Source organism: Homo sapiens, chromosome 15 (assembly GCF_000001405.40).
Source record: "Homo sapiens chromosome 15, GRCh38.p14 Primary Assembly".
In the NCBI taxonomy this organism is placed as follows: domain Eukaryota; kingdom Metazoa; phylum Chordata; class Mammalia; order Primates; family Hominidae; genus Homo; species Homo sapiens.
Window position 1 is genome coordinate 98,704,680 of NC_000015.10, and position 16,721 is coordinate 98,721,400.

Genomic DNA, 16,721 nt, shown 5'->3' on the forward strand with positions numbered 1-16,721 from the left:
AACCAACTGGAGCTGCGGTGAGAGAGACCATGAAAAGAAGGGCCAGAGCGGTGTCCTGCAGAGGGTGGTGTACCTTGGGAGGGAAGTGTGTAGGGTTGTTGAGGAACAGCGTGCTGCACAGGGAGGAAAGACGTGGGGCAGCATTGTGGGAAGAGCAACCAAGATTCTCATAGGCTTGGGAGCGGAAGCCCTGAGGTCTGTTGCTGGACTAGATATGTGAGGTGTGAGAGGAGAGAAGAATCAGGAATGACTCTTTGATTCTTAACGTGAGCAACTCAGAGAATGAGAGTGCTGCAGTTTACAAGCTTGGAAGGTGGATTATGTGGGGGGATGAGTGAGTTGTTTGACACCTCAATGGATATACTCGGATGTATACGTTAGAGCTCAAAAGAGTCTGGGCCAGTGACATGAATTTGATCATATCTAGAGTATGAGTGGCACAGGAAGCCACTTGTCTGGATGAGGTGACAGAGGAAAAGGTTGAGGATAGCAACCAACATTTAGAGGTAAGGTAGAAGGCAGAGCAGTGTGGAATCAGGGAAGCCGAGAGGAGGAGGCAATGCCAGGTGACTGGAAGGTCAAGTGACACTTCGACAGTGTCACTGAGGGCTCTGCTAGGAGCTATTCGGTGTCATAATGGGGACAGAAGCTCAGTCGGAGTGGGTTAAAGGTAACCAGGAGGTGAGGGTGCTGAGAGGTGGGACTATTGACAAGCCTTGTGTCAAGTTTTGCTATGTAGGGGCTGAAATCTAATGTATGTGACTGTGTATAAGTGACTTGACTTCCCCAAATCTGTTTCCTCACCTTTAAAATGGGTGTTTGCCAAGTGCTGGTTTCTGCTATTCTTTTCTCTGTCTTAGGGGTGTCATTTTCTCTTTGGTAAAACAGAAGAATTAGATGATATGAAGTTTCACATTCTAAGTTCTCAAGCTTTGCCCACTCCTCAGCCCTTGGGTCCCTCCACTTCCTCTTCTCTTCGCTATCTCTGCTCAGTTTCTGTCTTTGATTGTAATGTAATGCCCAGTGGGACTTTTCTTCTCTCCCTCGTCTGTTCACTTATTCCGTCCTGCACTGGGCCACCAGATTAATCCTGCAAAAGGCCTCACATGGGCTTCTCTCCCGCTCAGGAGCCTTGTGGGGGCTTTATTCCTCTGAGATGAAAGTTCTTATCCCCACATGTGATCCTTTATGACTTGGGTGCTATCAAATTCATTTCCTCAACTGCTCCCCTCTTCACCCTGACCATCAGATCTGCTGGCACATGGGCATACCTTGTTCTGCATTGTCTCTGGCCTGTGGGATATTTACCGAGCTTTAAATCCTAGGCACCCTTTGGGAGCCGGCCTGTGTGCAGAGCTCCCCTTAGCACGGTGGCACAAAGCTTGGACACCACCTCTTGTCTGTCCTGCTTAATTCCATTCACATCTAGAGTGGACTCGCTGTGTGCACACCACTGACCACCTGCCTCATGTGACAGTTGTTCCTCATGGGTCTTAGCTCTTTGCCTTCACCATGAGCCTCCTCAGAGGGCAGGGCACTGCCTGTTGGCATTTCTCGTGGTATCATACATGTTGGGTGCTTCCCAAATTAATTACATCAGTCAGAAAACTTCACTCTATCTGAGAAGCTTTAATAGTGTACTTGGGATTATTAAATCCTAAAAAAGGTTATCACAAAGAGTTTTCTTGGTGTGTGTCTGTGCTTAGAATTTAGAAAATAAGTCATCCAGTATTGAGGCCATTTTATGAAAAGCCTTTAAAATCTGCAAATGCGTTGGCCCAGCACTTCCACTTCTAGGGATTTATCCTAAGAAAATAGTCTTGGGTATCTGCCAATAATGTTCACTGGAGTGTTGTTTATAATGTGCAAAACAGGAGCTAACCTAAATGTCCAACAATAAGGGATTGGTTAAAAAAAAAAAACAACCCTCATGGTGTGTATTAATACTCTGGAACTACTGTCCCCTTAAAATGGTGATGTAGAAGGACATGTATTGACCTAGTAAAATATTAAGTGAAGGAAGTGTGTTTACAAATGTCATTTTTGTCTGATTTCACTTACCTTCATTTATAGAGAGTGGATAATTGGCATAGATAGTGTTAACATTGTTTATCGTGGAATGTTGAGATCGTTGATGATTTTTACTGGTTTTTTTTTTTTGGTTATTACCTCTAAACTCTGTAGGAAGCATGCTTTCTTGATCAATAAAACTTAAAGTTGGAGTTTATGCTGCTTTTATTCATAAAAAAATCACGTTTTTAATCTTGTTAGGTTATCCTTTATGTCTACATTAATGCACGTGTGGAGAGAACACAGTCTACTCGGCTTATGTCAAATGGTAGTGGGAAGCATGGAAGCATGCGTTTTTTAGTCCCCACTTTACAAGTCACAGTGACGGTTCTCCAGTGTAGAGTAGATTGATTGCCCTGTGTCCTTCAGGCAGGGTGCAGTAGTAAGTTATTGATACTTGGCTGCTGAGCTGTCGTTCAGGCCTTGGCAACTGACGCTCTGCAGAACGGACCAGGAGTGTGCGGTGGTGGAGTCCGGCTGGCCTGGGTTGCAGATTTAACTTTCGCCTCTGCCTCTGTGTGCCTCTGGGCTGTAAGCTTTAGTTTGCACGGTTAACGGGGATGGCCTCTCCCATGGTCGGTTGGAGTGTGTTGCACAGCGTCTGGTCCAGTGTTGGCACTGTATAAATGCCAGCTAACTGGTTAGCCACCTAAACTGTCAGTCTGCAACCCACAGCTCTGCAGTGAACAATTGAACCTCATTTCTTTAATAATAATACAGGATTCCTGAAAACCAACTGTATTATTGTTTGGAAAATAGTTTAAAAATTATTTCCTTCTAACTGAGACGTTTACCCTCTTGTCTCCCTTCAGTCTGCGGGCCAGGCATCGACATCCGCAACGACTATCAGCAGCTGAAGCGCCTGGAGAACTGCACGGTGATCGAGGGCTACCTCCACATCCTGCTCATCTCCAAGGCCGAGGACTACCGCAGCTACCGCTTCCCCAAGCTCACGGTCATTACCGAGTACTTGCTGCTGTTCCGAGTGGCTGGCCTCGAGAGCCTCGGAGACCTCTTCCCCAACCTCACGGTCATCCGCGGCTGGAAACTCTTCTACAACTACGCCCTGGTCATCTTCGAGATGACCAATCTCAAGGATATTGGGCTTTACAACCTGAGGAACATTACTCGGGGGGCCATCAGGATTGAGAAAAATGCTGACCTCTGTTACCTCTCCACTGTGGACTGGTCCCTGATCCTGGATGCGGTGTCCAATAACTACATTGTGGGGAATAAGCCCCCAAAGGAATGTGGGGACCTGTGTCCAGGGACCATGGAGGAGAAGCCGATGTGTGAGAAGACCACCATCAACAATGAGTACAACTACCGCTGCTGGACCACAAACCGCTGCCAGAAAAGTAAGAATGATGCTGACTGCTGCTTTCTCTCTGCCTCTCTCTCTCCTCTCCTCCTCCTTGACCTCCCTTCTCTTCTGAGTGCACGAGTTCCGCTGGGCAGGGTGCAGTCGTGTTGCATTTAGGACGTGGCATGCCTGCTGTGCGGAAGTGGTTCCCAGTGGGGGTCTTGGTTGGCTTTCCTTTGCATCTGGGACTCTTGGATTGCGGGACTGTGGCGTGGCTGGAGGCCATCATGGCTGCTGTCAAGACTGTTCAAATCACATGTTAGAAATAATCCAGCACACTCCTGGGCTAGACACTTGCTGACCTTCAGCTTTGAATTCCTGATGAGAAAGGTGACCTGGTGTGCTTGGAAGTCCCTGAGCCTTGGCAGCTGGGGGCTGCTTATGTGTCAGCTCTTTCATCCTTTGTGCGAAGTGATATTTTTTGTTCTGCAGGACTTCCTTAGTTTGAATGGACTTGGAATATGGTTAAATAAAGGGAAGGTAAAGCACTAACTCATATCCTGTGAAAGTGGTCCTTAGGTCCTAGTGATGATGTTATGATACTCAGGTGTCCTGGTTATGACAGAGCACCTGGCCCAGGTGGGAGACCTCTGGACCCATTTCTGCAAGTCCCAGGTTCAGGCTGTACTTGCAGGTAGCTGTGTAGCAGGGTGCATTTTTAAACCTCTGGGATTCTGTTTTCGTTCTTTTATACCTGTTTACTGAACAGTTGTGAAAATCTTAAGATTTCACGAGTGAAGGAACTTTGGAAAGTATTTACTGTTCTGGGGGTCAGATGGTGGTATTTTGAAGCTTCTTGTATATTTATCTGCAATATGCTTATTTTCCCTTGAGAATAACTGAGCTCTTGCCTTCATGTGATCAGTTCCTTAAGAACCAGGCTGTTTGGTATTAAAATGTGACTCTGAGCCTTCACCTTATTGCATTCAGCAATAGTTATGTATATTGGCTAGGAAGCTTTTCCTCACTGGTTTGAAGTCAGTGTGTTAGCTATAAATAGCTATTATTTAAGTGTTGGCCCAGTTAAAGATGTAAGGAACCCATGTTCTCTAGTTATGAAGAACCAAGAAACCCCAAATTGTTAGACTTGCCTAAAATAAATAAAAGGCGAGACCCCACAGGGGTGAAGTGTGTAAAGTAAATAAAGGACAGACCTCCCAGGTAGCCCTTCAGTTCCCGTTCAACCAGTCCTGAGGCAGGAAAAGGATCTGTGTACCCTGATCTGCCACGCACTTTTCTATTCTGCAGAATTGGATCAGTGCGTATGTGAACATTGATTAGTGAGGGCAGGGGTCCCACTGGCTGCAGCCAGTACCTTGTAGAGCTCTGAGAATGCAGTCAGGCCACTTTAAGGTTGGCTGGAGTTGGAGGGAGATCTTATGCTAAAGTCACTTGTGTGGTTGATTAAAACTGCCCTATCATTAAGTTACCCACTGGTTTGAGAAAACAACAAAATATATTTTTTAAATAACCTTGACATTTAAAAATTTTATCTGAAAAGTAAAAGGTGTTATCAAGGGAGGCAGCATGGAGTAGAAAAGAGATGTTGAATGTGGTGATGAGGGCCAGGAATGACCTTGGATGGGCCAGCCCTTCTGGGCTGTAGTTGGGCTTTTTTAGGATATTTCTAGGGCAGTCCAGTACATCCCTTAGTGGTGATCATATATGGGCATGAGGATGTTTTGAAAACTCATAAGCTCTTTAGAGAAGGGAGGTGCCATATGAAACGTCATTAAGTGGAGAGTTGTTCACGAACTAGGTAGGTAGTTACTTTGGTCTTGCCATAGGTTTTTGGCTGTTTCTGATGAGCTACTGATTGAAGACCCCTGGGGTAGGGGTGAGGCCTGCATTCTGGGTCCAAGTCTAAGAGTGGCGACTAGAAATGAGCAAGTTATTTAAATTGCCTGGGCCTTGGTTTCTTCATATGTGGAATGGGGTAAAGCCTGCCTTCCTCATAGGGCTGTTGGAAGATGAAAAGGAGGAAGGAAAAGCACCGTGAAAATGTTAACGATGGTTAGAAGGTGGGCTCTGCTGGTGACAGACAGAGCCTTGATATCACCTGTTGGTTGGTCACCTGCTTCCCCAAGGCCACGCCCTGCAGCCTTCTCCTTGACCATCCCAGCCCTGCTGATGTTCCTTGTGATTTCACAATGGAGTACTTATATAAAATTGGTAACTGCTTTCCGGGAAATTGACTTCCCTTCCCCTTGTCCTGAAAACTCAGGCATGGGCATATTTCTTGGAGATTTTCTAGTTGAATCAGAACTTCCTCTTGGTTTGCGTAGATTCCATTTAGACCTGCATTGTCCAGTGTGGTAGCCGCTTATTGAGTAAGCCACGTGGCTTATTGAGTACTTGAACTGTGGCTTGTCCGAATTGGGACTGCTTTAGGTGTAAAATATACACTAGATTTCCAAGACATAGTATAGCAAAAACTCTGTACACCATTTCATTAATAATTACTATGTTGATAACATGTTGAAATATAACATTTTGGATATATTAGATTAAGTAAAATGTGTTCTTAAATTTCACCTGCCTGTTTCCTTTTTATTCTTTTTTTTTTTTTTTGAGGCGGAGTTTCGCTCTCATCACCCAGGCTGGAGTGCAGCGGCGCGATCTCGGCTCACTGCAACCTCCGTCTCCTGGGTTCAAGCGATTCTCTTGCCTCAGCCTCCCAAGTAGCTGGAATTACAAGCATGTGCCACCATGCCCGTCTAATTTTTGTATTTTAACTGGAGACGGGGTTTCACCACCATGTTGGCCAGGCTGGTCTCAAACTCCTGACCTCAGATGATCCGCCCGCCTCAGCCTCCCAAAGTGTTAGGATTACAGGTGTGAGCCACCATGCCCGACTCTTTTTAATTCTTAATGTGGCTACTTGAAAATTTAAAATTACAGATGTGGCTTGCATTCTGTGTTGGTAAGCTGCTTTAGAGCATTTCTTTTAACACCAGGAGTTCTTCCCCTCATCATCTTTTTGGCTGAGTCGTCACTGCAGCGCTCATAGCCCCGCATGTACCTCTCCAGCCAGAACCCTTAGGAATCATTTGGGGAGCTCCATGAAGGGCATTGAGTCCAGGCAGAATGGCTACCTTGAGTTCAACATAAGCATTAAGATGGCCATTCGAAAACATTAAGCACAGAAGAATCCCATTCAGGTAATCTTCTGTTGGCTGGCTGTAGAACTACGGAGAACATCTGGAGAAACACGTCAAGGGTGTGTGTGAAATCGTTGAGCCTACTCGATTTTGTCGTGCTGTTGCGCGGTTTTCACTTGGCACTGTCCTTTAAACTCCTTCTGTGCCGTGACTCTGCAGTGTCTGGCAGCGTAGTAGACTCTACTCCCTCTATGGACGTGATCCCTCTGTGGGTTCTCTGCACACTTCTGTATTTCTCGGTTCTTTTTGGATTTAGGAGTGGATTTTATACATTTTTGAGTCATTCCTAAAGAGCGATTGACCCTTAAAGAACTGTGTACAGTGGTTTCCTTTCAGTAAGAACATAGTTGTGTGGCACCCCCTGACATGTGGTGTGGTTGATTCTTCTTCCTTGTCTTCCAACGCCACCCTCTTATGAGTCTCTTCCTACCCCCACAGGTGCCGCTTCTCTGTCTCCCTTCCCTCAGTCTGGCTTTTAACGGTGGTCTCCTGACATAGTCCATTCAGGCTGCTGTAACAAAATCCCATACCCTGAGTGGCTTACACACAACAGAAATACTGCTCACAGTTCTGGAGGCTGGAAGTCCAAGTTCAAGGTGCTTACCAGATTAACTGTCTGGGGAGGGCCCACACTCTGGTTCACAGAAGCACCTTTTCACTGTCTTCACATGTTGGAAGGGGCGAGGGATTTTTTTTCTGGCGTCTTTTTTATAAGGGCACTAATCCCATTTGTGAGGGCTCCACCCTCATGGCCTAATCACCTCCCAGAGCCATCATACTGGGGATTAGGTTTCAACATAAGAATTTTGAGGGGACATAAACATTCAGATCATAGCATGGCTGGAGTTCTGTCCTGGGCTCTCTTTTCACTTTCCTTGTTCTCATCTCATCCACTGGTAACTGCATTGCCTCCTGTCTCCACCTAAACTTCCAAGTATCTCCAGCCCAGAACCCTTTTGAGTCCAGGACCTGTCATTCATATCCATCCCAGAACCCTTTTGAACCCAGGACTTGTCATTCATATCAGACCACCACGAGCATTTCACTACAGCCTCTGATGGTCTTCCCTGTTTCCTCACTTTTGCCTATTTTTTTTCTTTTCTATTCCCTCTTAAGTGGGCCACACTTTTGTTCCCCTGGTTCTTATGTCAGGAATGTGGGTGTCCTTTGGACACTTCCTTCTCCAGTTGGATACCAGGCCCTTTCCCTCCCGAATGGAATGGAAATGCTGCTTCAGCTGTGTTCCTCTGCTCCTCCCCCTTACAGCAGTGACATAGCCTCTCTCCTGCTATTGTGTCCTGTGGCTCCACCGAGCACTGGGGAGCTTTTCAGTATGCACTTTTTTTTTTTTTGGAGAAAGAGTCTTACTCTGTCACCCAGGCTGGAGTGCAGTGGTGCGATCTTGGCTCATTGCAACCTCCGGGCTCCCAGGTTCAAGTGATTCTACTGCCTCAGCCTCCTGAGTAGCTGGGATTACAGGCCCGCACCACCACACCCAGCTAATTTTTGTATTTTTAGTAGAGACGGGGTTTCACCATGTTAACCAGGCTGGTCTCGAACTCCCGACCTCAGGCGATCCACCGGTCTTGGCCTCCCAATGTGCTGGGATTACAGGCATGAGCCACTGCGCCCGGCCATCTAGTGTGCACTTTGGACTGATGAGCTCCCCTACCTGAAATCCTGTAGCAAGTCCCTATAGGATAGGCATGTGGTACAGTGTGAAGCTCCTGAGTGGTCAACAGCTACCCCGTGACAACATGCCACACTCCATGTGCCACTCCCTCCCGCCTGCCTGCTGTGTCCTTGGCCCCAGTGGTGCTCTCCCGTGCTGACCAGCCGGCACGGCTCACCTGGCCGAACTCTAGCCTTGCCTTTTCCTCTCAAGGATGTAAAGGCTCTGCAGATTTCGGGAGGCCTGTCTCCCAGCACCTGATGGGACACTTTTTGCCCCACTGTAAATTCTGGGTGTATCCTCCACTGTATGCTGTCACCCCAAGGGCAAGCACTGCATCTGCTTAGTGAAGGATTTATTGTTCGGAAGATACATTTTCCCCTTGAGCAGAGAGTAGCGTATCCTGGCAGTCTTCGGTGAGCCAGTTGTACCAGGATTATGAAATGCAGATGTTTACTGTGTCATTGTTGCTGTCATTGCTACTGAGGAGTACTGACCAGAATCATCTGCAACTCTTAGTTGGCAGAGAGGACCACTATGGCGGGTAGCTCTTTTCTTTCCTGCCATTGTGGGGATGATTCCAGGCCAAAGATGATGGAGAAGTATGGAAATCATCTGAAAGGTTGAAGCTTGGCACGTGAAGCCATTCATGACTTTGTAAGGCAGTTTTGCTGAAGGCCAGTTCTGCCCTGGGAGGGACGGAGGTGAATCCTCCTGAGTACCTGTGGTTTTCTTACTTCCTGCTGAATTTACCTAAGTGCCTGTTGTTTGCTTGCTGTGGAGGCTTTCTGGTATTTCATTTCAGGTGCAGATGCCTTCACTTTCCCACAAAAAAAACCCCAACAAAACCTAAGACCTTACTGCAACTAAGTCTCCAAGTACTTTTTAACCCATTGGGATGAACAGCCTGTGGTCTGCTCAGATCACCCTGAGTGCGTGTGAGAAGGCCTGGGCTTTGCCAGGAAATCCAGGAAGGCAGGGCCGGGCTGTGTTGGAAGCTGGCTTAGCTGGTGGGGCAGCCTTATTTCAATTAAAAGGGCATTGACTGGGAGCAGCAGTCCTGGAGTTTGTTGCATTTCCTATTGCCCTCAAAATGAGAAACCAGGAAAATAGCAGATTGGAGCCTTCGAGAAGGCAGTAAATGGCTGTTTTTATTGACAAAAGGAAAACATTTTACTGCCATCTCACTGATGGCATCTCACTGACTTAAAATGAAGGCAGGTTGTAGTAAAAAAAAAAAAGTCTACATTTTTCCACCGCCACGTTCTTATATCCTTGTTTGTCAGCCACTGCTCACAAGGGCAGTGTTGTCTTGCGGAGTAGAGGCGCTCTCCTTCCCTCGTTTTCCTCTATAGGTTGGTGTGGCTGACCTGCTAGATCAAAGTGGAGGACCTGTTTAAGAATGTGTAAATTGAAGGCTGGGCGCAGTGGCTAACACCTGTAATCCTAGCATTTGGGGAGGCTGAGGCAGGAGGATCGCTTGAGTCCAGGAGCTCAAGACTGGCCTGGGCAACATGGTGAGACCTTGTTCATATAAAAAAATTTAAATAATTAGCTGGTTGTGGAGGCACGTGCCTATAGTCCCAGCACTTTGGGAGGCTGAGATGGGAGGATCCGCCTGAGCCTGGGGAGATGGAGGTTACAGTGAGCCGTGGTTGTGCCACTGCACTTCAGCCTGGGCGACATAATGAAATCCTGTCTGAGAAAAAAAAAAAAAGATTTTGTAACTAAGTTTTATGGCTAGCTTTGAGAAAGGAAAATAATAATAAAAAAAGAATGTGTAAATCACCTGCTGGATGGGGGGAAGAGGGGCACATTGTCTTTGTAGTGAGACTTCACTCATGTGATGTGCAGTATTTCATCTTAACATTTTTTTTTTAAACTTAAGCTACTTGTGAAGAGCTGAGATGTTTCTGTTAAGCACTGTGTGGTCTGCTGCTGGTCTTCTGCAGGCCACTGTTCCCCAGACTGCTAAGACGATCATGACACAGGCTTGCATTTTCAGGTGGACTCTTGGGAGGGGCTTGTGGACCCTGGAGGAGAAGGCAGCCAGGAGAGGGGCATCTGGCTTTGTGTTGTTGGTAGGAACTTGTCTCGGTTGCCCTGGAAGGCCTCTGCTCTGGTCAGCTGCTCCCAGTGTGGGGGTGATCTTTATTTAGAAGGGGGTCACATGCCCCCAGGCCTCATTGCTATGCCTTTTATAGTCAGGCGTGGAGCTCACATTCTCTTCTGCCTGATTGCCGACGCTTGTTGCCGAGATGGTGAAGCAGTTTGTGTGCAGGTTCCCTGGGACCTGGCTTAGCCCACCTCATTTCTTGGGGCGTGTGCCTTGTGCCTCAAAGACTTTGCTTTTGGCTAATTGTCATTAGTGATGGTGTCACCATCCTGGGCCTCCTTCAGAAGTTTTTAATAGGGATCTCGTCTAAGAGACCAAAAAGCTTTCAGAACCACTGACTTGTGGTGATTTTTGCATGCCAAGTATTTGGAAAATATCTGGAGCCCCTTCAGCTCTCACCAGTTAAACCTATTTGTACAATTGTTCTGGTTTCTTCCTGTGCTTGAAAAGCCTCTTTCTTTGTTGCGTTAATACCTCTGTCTTGCTTTCCTCATGTGTATGCCAGTGTGACATTCTCGGCAGAGTGGGGATGACGTGGAGCGTGTGGGCCCGTGGTTAATCTTGTCCTGAATTGCCTTGCTCAACTTGCGTGTATAGGGTGGTTCAAAAGTTAAGTTTGGCTGGTGGTGAAGTTGGAAGCATCACTTAGAAACACGCCTCCTTTGGGCATATGGTGTGAATCAGGGACTCTGGCTATAAAAGGTGGGGTCTCTGAGCACCATCCTGGTTGGAATGTTCCCCTGACTTGGAGGTAGCGAGAGACAGCCAAGGTGTTTGTTCCAGGGAGGCTGGTGGGTGGGAGATGGGATTTTTCTGTCTGTGGCACAGGCAGTATTAAGTAGAGCAGGCTGTTTAAATCACATTTTAAGTAAAAACCAAAGTGCACAGATGATCTGCAGAACTTCTGGGGGATAAGAAGCTGCTTTCCTCGAAGAAGTTCATCTCCAAACCAGCGCCCATGGCTCAGCAGCCAGCATGGCAGCCCCAGGGGTACATGGGACTTGGGCATGTGAGGCTGGTGAGGGACAGGGACAGCTGGGTCCAGCAGTGCCTTTCCTAGGGACGGTTGCCACGTCACCTGTCTGCCCTGTACTTCCATTTCCTTTCTTTGAACTCGGGGGGCTTGCATCGGACTACCTGTGCCGTTTCCTCAAACTCTAAAATTGAGTAAGTTACTGAGGGTTTCCGTGGTCTGCTCTGAGAAGATTTCTTGCTTCCTGATCTGCCTGTGTGTTCGTGTTGCTTGGTCTCTCTCTCTGTCTCTCTCTCTCTCCTCTTTGATCCTAGTACATACAGGCAAGGTATGCAGCATTTAAAATGTTCATAACTCATCAAATGGCACACTGATCATCATGTATAATTTGGGAATCAGGGTTTAAGAAATTTAGAGATCATTTATATGGAAGAAGGAACCCCAAGTAGAAACCCAAAATCTAGACCATTCTGGGTTCTAATCTGTACCTGCCACTGGCTAACATATGGCTTTAAGCTGGATGTTACAATGAGAGCTGGAGTTTCGTCTGATTGCACATAGCCTTGCTTTTCTGTCTTTGGAAAAGTAGCTCACTGTAGAGCCCTGGTAAACGTTTGAACTGCATTGCGGGAGTAGGCAGAAGAACAGAACAGTCCTTGGAGCTTGGTAGGAGGTGTGAGGGCTTATGGGGGACAGTTGTCTTTTCAAGTCAAGGAGGAATAAGGGCTTCTGGGGCCGGTGGAAAGGGTGAGTCTTAGGCAGGGAAGGTGACCATCCAGGTTAGATCACTTCTTCTGCGGGGTCAGCTTGGCCGCTGTTAGGTTTTCAGGATGTCATGGGGCTGGCCAGGCCTCACCCCTGATATCCCTGAGCATCTGTTCCTTACAATATTGTGGAGTCCGTGGGGGCAGAAGCTACCATCCTGTGCCTGCCCTCACTCTCAGTGTGACTGGTCTTCAGGATGTTTAGGTGGCTCCACATGCGGATGTACAGCTTTCCCCTGCTTGTTTTCCCCATGGCATATTAACAGCGAGATCTGCAAGAATACATCATTTTGTACAGAACAGGATGTATTTCTTTTAAACTACGTTCCTGTGTGGACAAGTGGTATCATATGCAAAGGTTTAAGGACCGTTGATGCCTTGAGATAGTGCCATCTGTTTGCCTCAGGTATGTGGTGCTAGGACAAAGCTGCCAGACCTCACCTTCCTTCAGTGAGACAGGAATAGGACAGTATTTGAAAAGCATCTAACATGTTTCCAAGCACATAGGTTTTTGGTAAATGGTGGCAGCTGCTGCTATTTTTTTTTTAAATTAAACTATCTAAGAGTTGCATTCTAAGACCATCTAAAATTCTGAGTCTTAAGCTGTGTTGACTATATATGTTCACTACCATAACTAAATGGTCCTTCTGTATTGCTTTTCTAAATTGTAGAATTTCAATTATTGTAAATAGCGGGCCATACTGTAGGTGTGGTTCTTGCTAATTTGATTCGTACTGTTCAAATTCTTGTGTCTGTCCAGATAAACTGTATCTTTACAGAACATTCAGCGAGGTACATATGTCTATATCGGGGTGCCAGTGGAGTCACCCTAGTCATATGTAAACTCTATTTATTTGGTTCCGAAACTGAATTTATTTTGTTTGCAAGTTTGGTATTTGGGAGCATTTAAGAAATATCCATAGATTCTTGTATGATACTGACATTAAATCATTAAATACCATATTTTTTAAATGCCTCTGTCTGTTTGCATGGATAACATTAAAGTGGTTAGAGTGGGCACAGTTATTGGTAAAGATTACAAAGATGTGCATTTTTATGACAACTTTAGGTCTCACATAGGTAGCCAACCATCTGCTCCAGGATGAAGCATGTGCCTGTTTATCCTCTTCTTTGGTAACGCTAGGTATATGTGTGCACACGTGCACGTGTGCGTGTGTGTTTGTGTATGTGCGTACCACTTTATTCTCCCACCCAGCCTCTTCTCCTGTTTTGTTTAGTTTCATTTTCCTCCTCTCACCCCCATTGCAGGAAACAAACACTGGCTCTCTGTCCTCCCTTAGGTCTTCCTTCCGTTCAAGGGGATCAGGTGGGTGGGAAAATGTTGTGCAGGAATGCCAGGCCTCTGCCCGAAGCCGGGCTTCTGTTTCATCTCATTATTGAACAGAAGTCGCTTTTTGTTTCTTTGCCTTGGTCACAAACAAGCGCCCAGTCCTCTCTTCTTTCTTCCTGCCATTTTTCCCAGAATCCATGTGGGATGGGAACAGAGGCAGCGTATTTAGGGACTGTCGGTTGCTTGATACCCATGGCCTTGTTTAGAGAAGCTGCACCCACTGCCCCAACGTGTAGCTGCATCTGATTTGTTTTTGCAAGTCCTAATGAAGGGACCTGGATGAAGTTAGTGAGGTTGCCGTTCCTGGGGTTAATGCAGAGTGGCCCATGGAGCTTAGCCACCCTTCATGCAGAAGGTGGGGCTGAGGGCAGCCAGTGTGACTGAGGCTCGCTGGCCCACCCTGAGCTGCTTGTGCCCATGGGGCCCCTGGGGAGGAGGGCCCAGCTGCAGTGCGCATACATCTGCCCTTGGCAGCAGATCTGTGAACCCAGGCTGCCATTCTGGATTTCCGGATAGATGCAAAGTGCTTGGACGTGTTTTAGCAGCTGCTGAGACCAGGAGTTGGGCTTAGTAGTAAAAAGGGGGAACAAAATAAAAGAAGATCAGGAGACAAAGAGCCTACAGTACAAAAAAGGAAAGACGAAGGTTGATATTATTAGAAATACTTCCTGGGCAGCCTTACTGTTTGAATTAGGATCACCCCCACCCCCACCTCCCAGAGGTATTAGTTGTAATGCAGAGACAAATGGAAACTAGTCAGATCCTTGGGTCCTAGAAAAGACCAGCTTTGTTCCTGGGGTGGTAACCTAGTACAACGTTTCCGTTCCTATTTCTTGACCTCTGAATGGCCCCTTCTGCTTTGCTAAGTAGATGATATTATTAGGTGCTTAGACTATTCTTCAGATAGGATGTAAGGATATATTTTTGTTCTCTTCCTCAGTGAACTTGAAATGATTGGATTATTTTGTAATACGTCGATACTACTTTTAGAAGCTTTTGAATAACTGTGTCAAAGAAGCTTTAGAAGAGGTTTTAAGCAGGATTGCAGAGAATGTACTGAGTGTGTTTTTCCACTCACAAGGAAAGACAGCAGCTGAATGCAGAAGTGTGTGTCTGGTTCTAACTCTTTATCACTTCAGGGACTGTCCAGGCAGCACCATCCGTTGGGTCTCCTGCCCTTCCTCCTCCCACCCCTGCCTTACCCCTGGCCATTCTTTTGTGACCAGTAGTCCTTTATGAATGGAATTCTGAGAATGTATAATTTTCTCAGAAGAATGCTTCTTTAGCTCACCAAATATTTCTTGTTTGCTGAGGGGGGAAAAAGATCCTCCTTGGAAAAGTCACTGGGTGCCAAAGGTGGGTGATGAGGAGAGATGAACTTCTGGGTGTGCCTAGCAAAGCTGTTTCTGTTGATAGGCGATTAACAAAACAGCCAAACTTGACCTAACAGACTGCCATTTTGAGAGGAATTTGTTTTGCAGGATTAATTGGCTTCGAGGTGTACTGGTGGCTGTGCAGTGATGACGGCTGTCGTGCCTCCTGTGTCTTCTGCTCATTGTGATGCAGGGCAAGTGCTTAGGCCTCAGACACAGGCTCCCTGAACTTCGTGTTCAGTGCTTTAGGGTGGGGGGACTTGAGACCCTTGACTTGACTCGGTCCCACTGGAAAGCTTCTGTTGCTTATTTGGGTAACCCCAACTCTATCTTATTGGGCGGTAGTGTTATCCTAATTCTTGGAAATACTCAGTGTAGAATAAAGAGCTGATGAAAATGTGTAAGAAGGGAGTAAGTGGTCATTAGAGAGAAATGGTAATTGGGATGATGCTCTGACCCCTTCAGCAAAAAATAAAAGGTGAATGGTTTATTATGAGCTAGTTCAGATTCTGTTTTTGGAAATGAGCTTGGTTATACATAGTGCATTTGAAAAGCGTGAAGCATGGACTTTCAGATGCCAGCTCCTCAGCCTCCTGTAACTCCAGTCGCAAAATCCCTCCAGTGTATCTAAATAAATGCAAACTCATCAGTGCCTTACCATTATAAAGCTGGGCTGGAGAGGCAGGTGGCCTGGAGAATCAAATGACAAGAAGTATAGGGAGCAGCCCAGCTTCATGATCGGGGGAATTTGCATGAAAATTGTGTACACTTAAGCACCATTGTCTATTGCAGAAAGCACGATCTGGCCTCTTCTACTGACTTTCCTTCCAGCTCTGAGATTCAGTTTTGAAGACAAGGTTGTTGGGGACCTCGGATAGATCTGTTGGCCGTGGCTTTCAGTAAACACTACTAGAGACTGAGGACATGTTCTAGACTTGGAATGGTATGAAGCAGTCGAACTTTTTAGGATGGGCCCTACCCTTAGGGACTGCCTACGAAACTAGATCTAGAAGAGGAGGCTGTGGACATTAGGAGGTGGCTGCAATTGGAAAGTTCCAGAGAGCTTACTGAGGGATAACGGATGTAGGACAGGAGGCTGGCAAAGCACCTCAGTGATAGGGCAGAAGGAAATAAAGTGGTTAGGGAAGGAGTTGAGAGCAGGAAATTCAGGTAGGATTGATGTTAAGTCTTAGATCTTTGAAGTGACTTTCTCTGGTCTGGCTTTTGCTGTTACCAAAGTGAATTATTCATAAGTGCATATGAGAAATGCTGATGTAACTCGATTATGTGGAATGAATTTAAATTCATTTAAGTCATTCTTTTCCACTAAAGTAAGCTTTCCCTCATCCAGAATCTGAGCAGCCCGATAGCCAAGCAGGAGTTTCCTTGTGCCATGGCCAGTGATTGATGTCTTCTTCTATGATGCTGCTGAAATGCTGGGGACTCTGAAGCGCAGCTGGAGTGATCAAAGCAAAATTAAAATACTTTCTCAGTGGTTTGGGAGTTGGGTGCGTTCTGCTGTATTTTTTGGTTTTCGGCATCTGGGTTTGGTGTGCATGCATGGTGAGCTCTAGCTGGAGCAGACGTTACCTACTGAGGCTACGCTCTTCGTGGTTTCTCCTTAACCATCACCCACTTGATCTTCCATGAAGCCCCCCAAATCTTCCTTACTGAGGACTCTTGCTTCCAGGTTGCTTTTGTGCTCATCCATTGCTGGGTTATTTGGTCAGTGATGATGGTTTCTCTGTACTTTTTATCAGTAGGTTCAGAGGACCTTGTTTACTCCTCATTCATCTCTCTCCCCAAACAGTTGAGAAACCACTTGTGGGTTAGGACTCATGCTTTGTTTATAATGTTTGATTCTCCAACCTCACAGCT

At 46.4% G+C, this 16,721-nt stretch overlaps 1 protein-coding gene across 7 annotated transcripts in view, besides 2 other annotated features; it reads left to right on the plus strand.

Annotated features, from left to right (window-relative positions):
• IGF1R (insulin like growth factor 1 receptor) overlaps positions 1-16,721 on the plus strand; it is a 315,992-nt gene that overhangs the window by 56,141 nt on the left and 243,130 nt on the right. For all 7 annotated transcript variants that reach the window (NM_000875.5, XM_047432443.1, NM_001291858.2 and 4 more), the window contains exon 2: positions 2,883-3,428. In NM_000875.5, the coding sequence (NP_000866.1) occupies positions 2,883-3,428 (546 nt within the window). The remainder of the gene's footprint in view (positions 1-2,882; positions 3,429-16,721) is intronic.
• Positions 8,209-8,911: an enhancer, noted in NCBI's record as "H3K27ac-H3K4me1 hESC enhancer chr15:99256117-99256819 (GRCh37/hg19 assembly coordinates)". NCBI's record gives its function as "activates a minimal SCP1, AML or CMV promoter by ChIP-STARR-seq in primed H9 embryonic stem cells {active_cell/tissue: H9 hESC(primed)}" and the evidence as "EXISTENCE:reporter gene assay evidence [ECO:0000049][PMID:30033119]".
• Positions 9,832-14,320: an enhancer, noted in NCBI's record as "VISTA enhancer hs1932". NCBI's record gives its function as "enhancer in: heart[6/14]" and the evidence as "EXISTENCE:transgenic organism evidence [ECO:0001131][PMID:17130149]".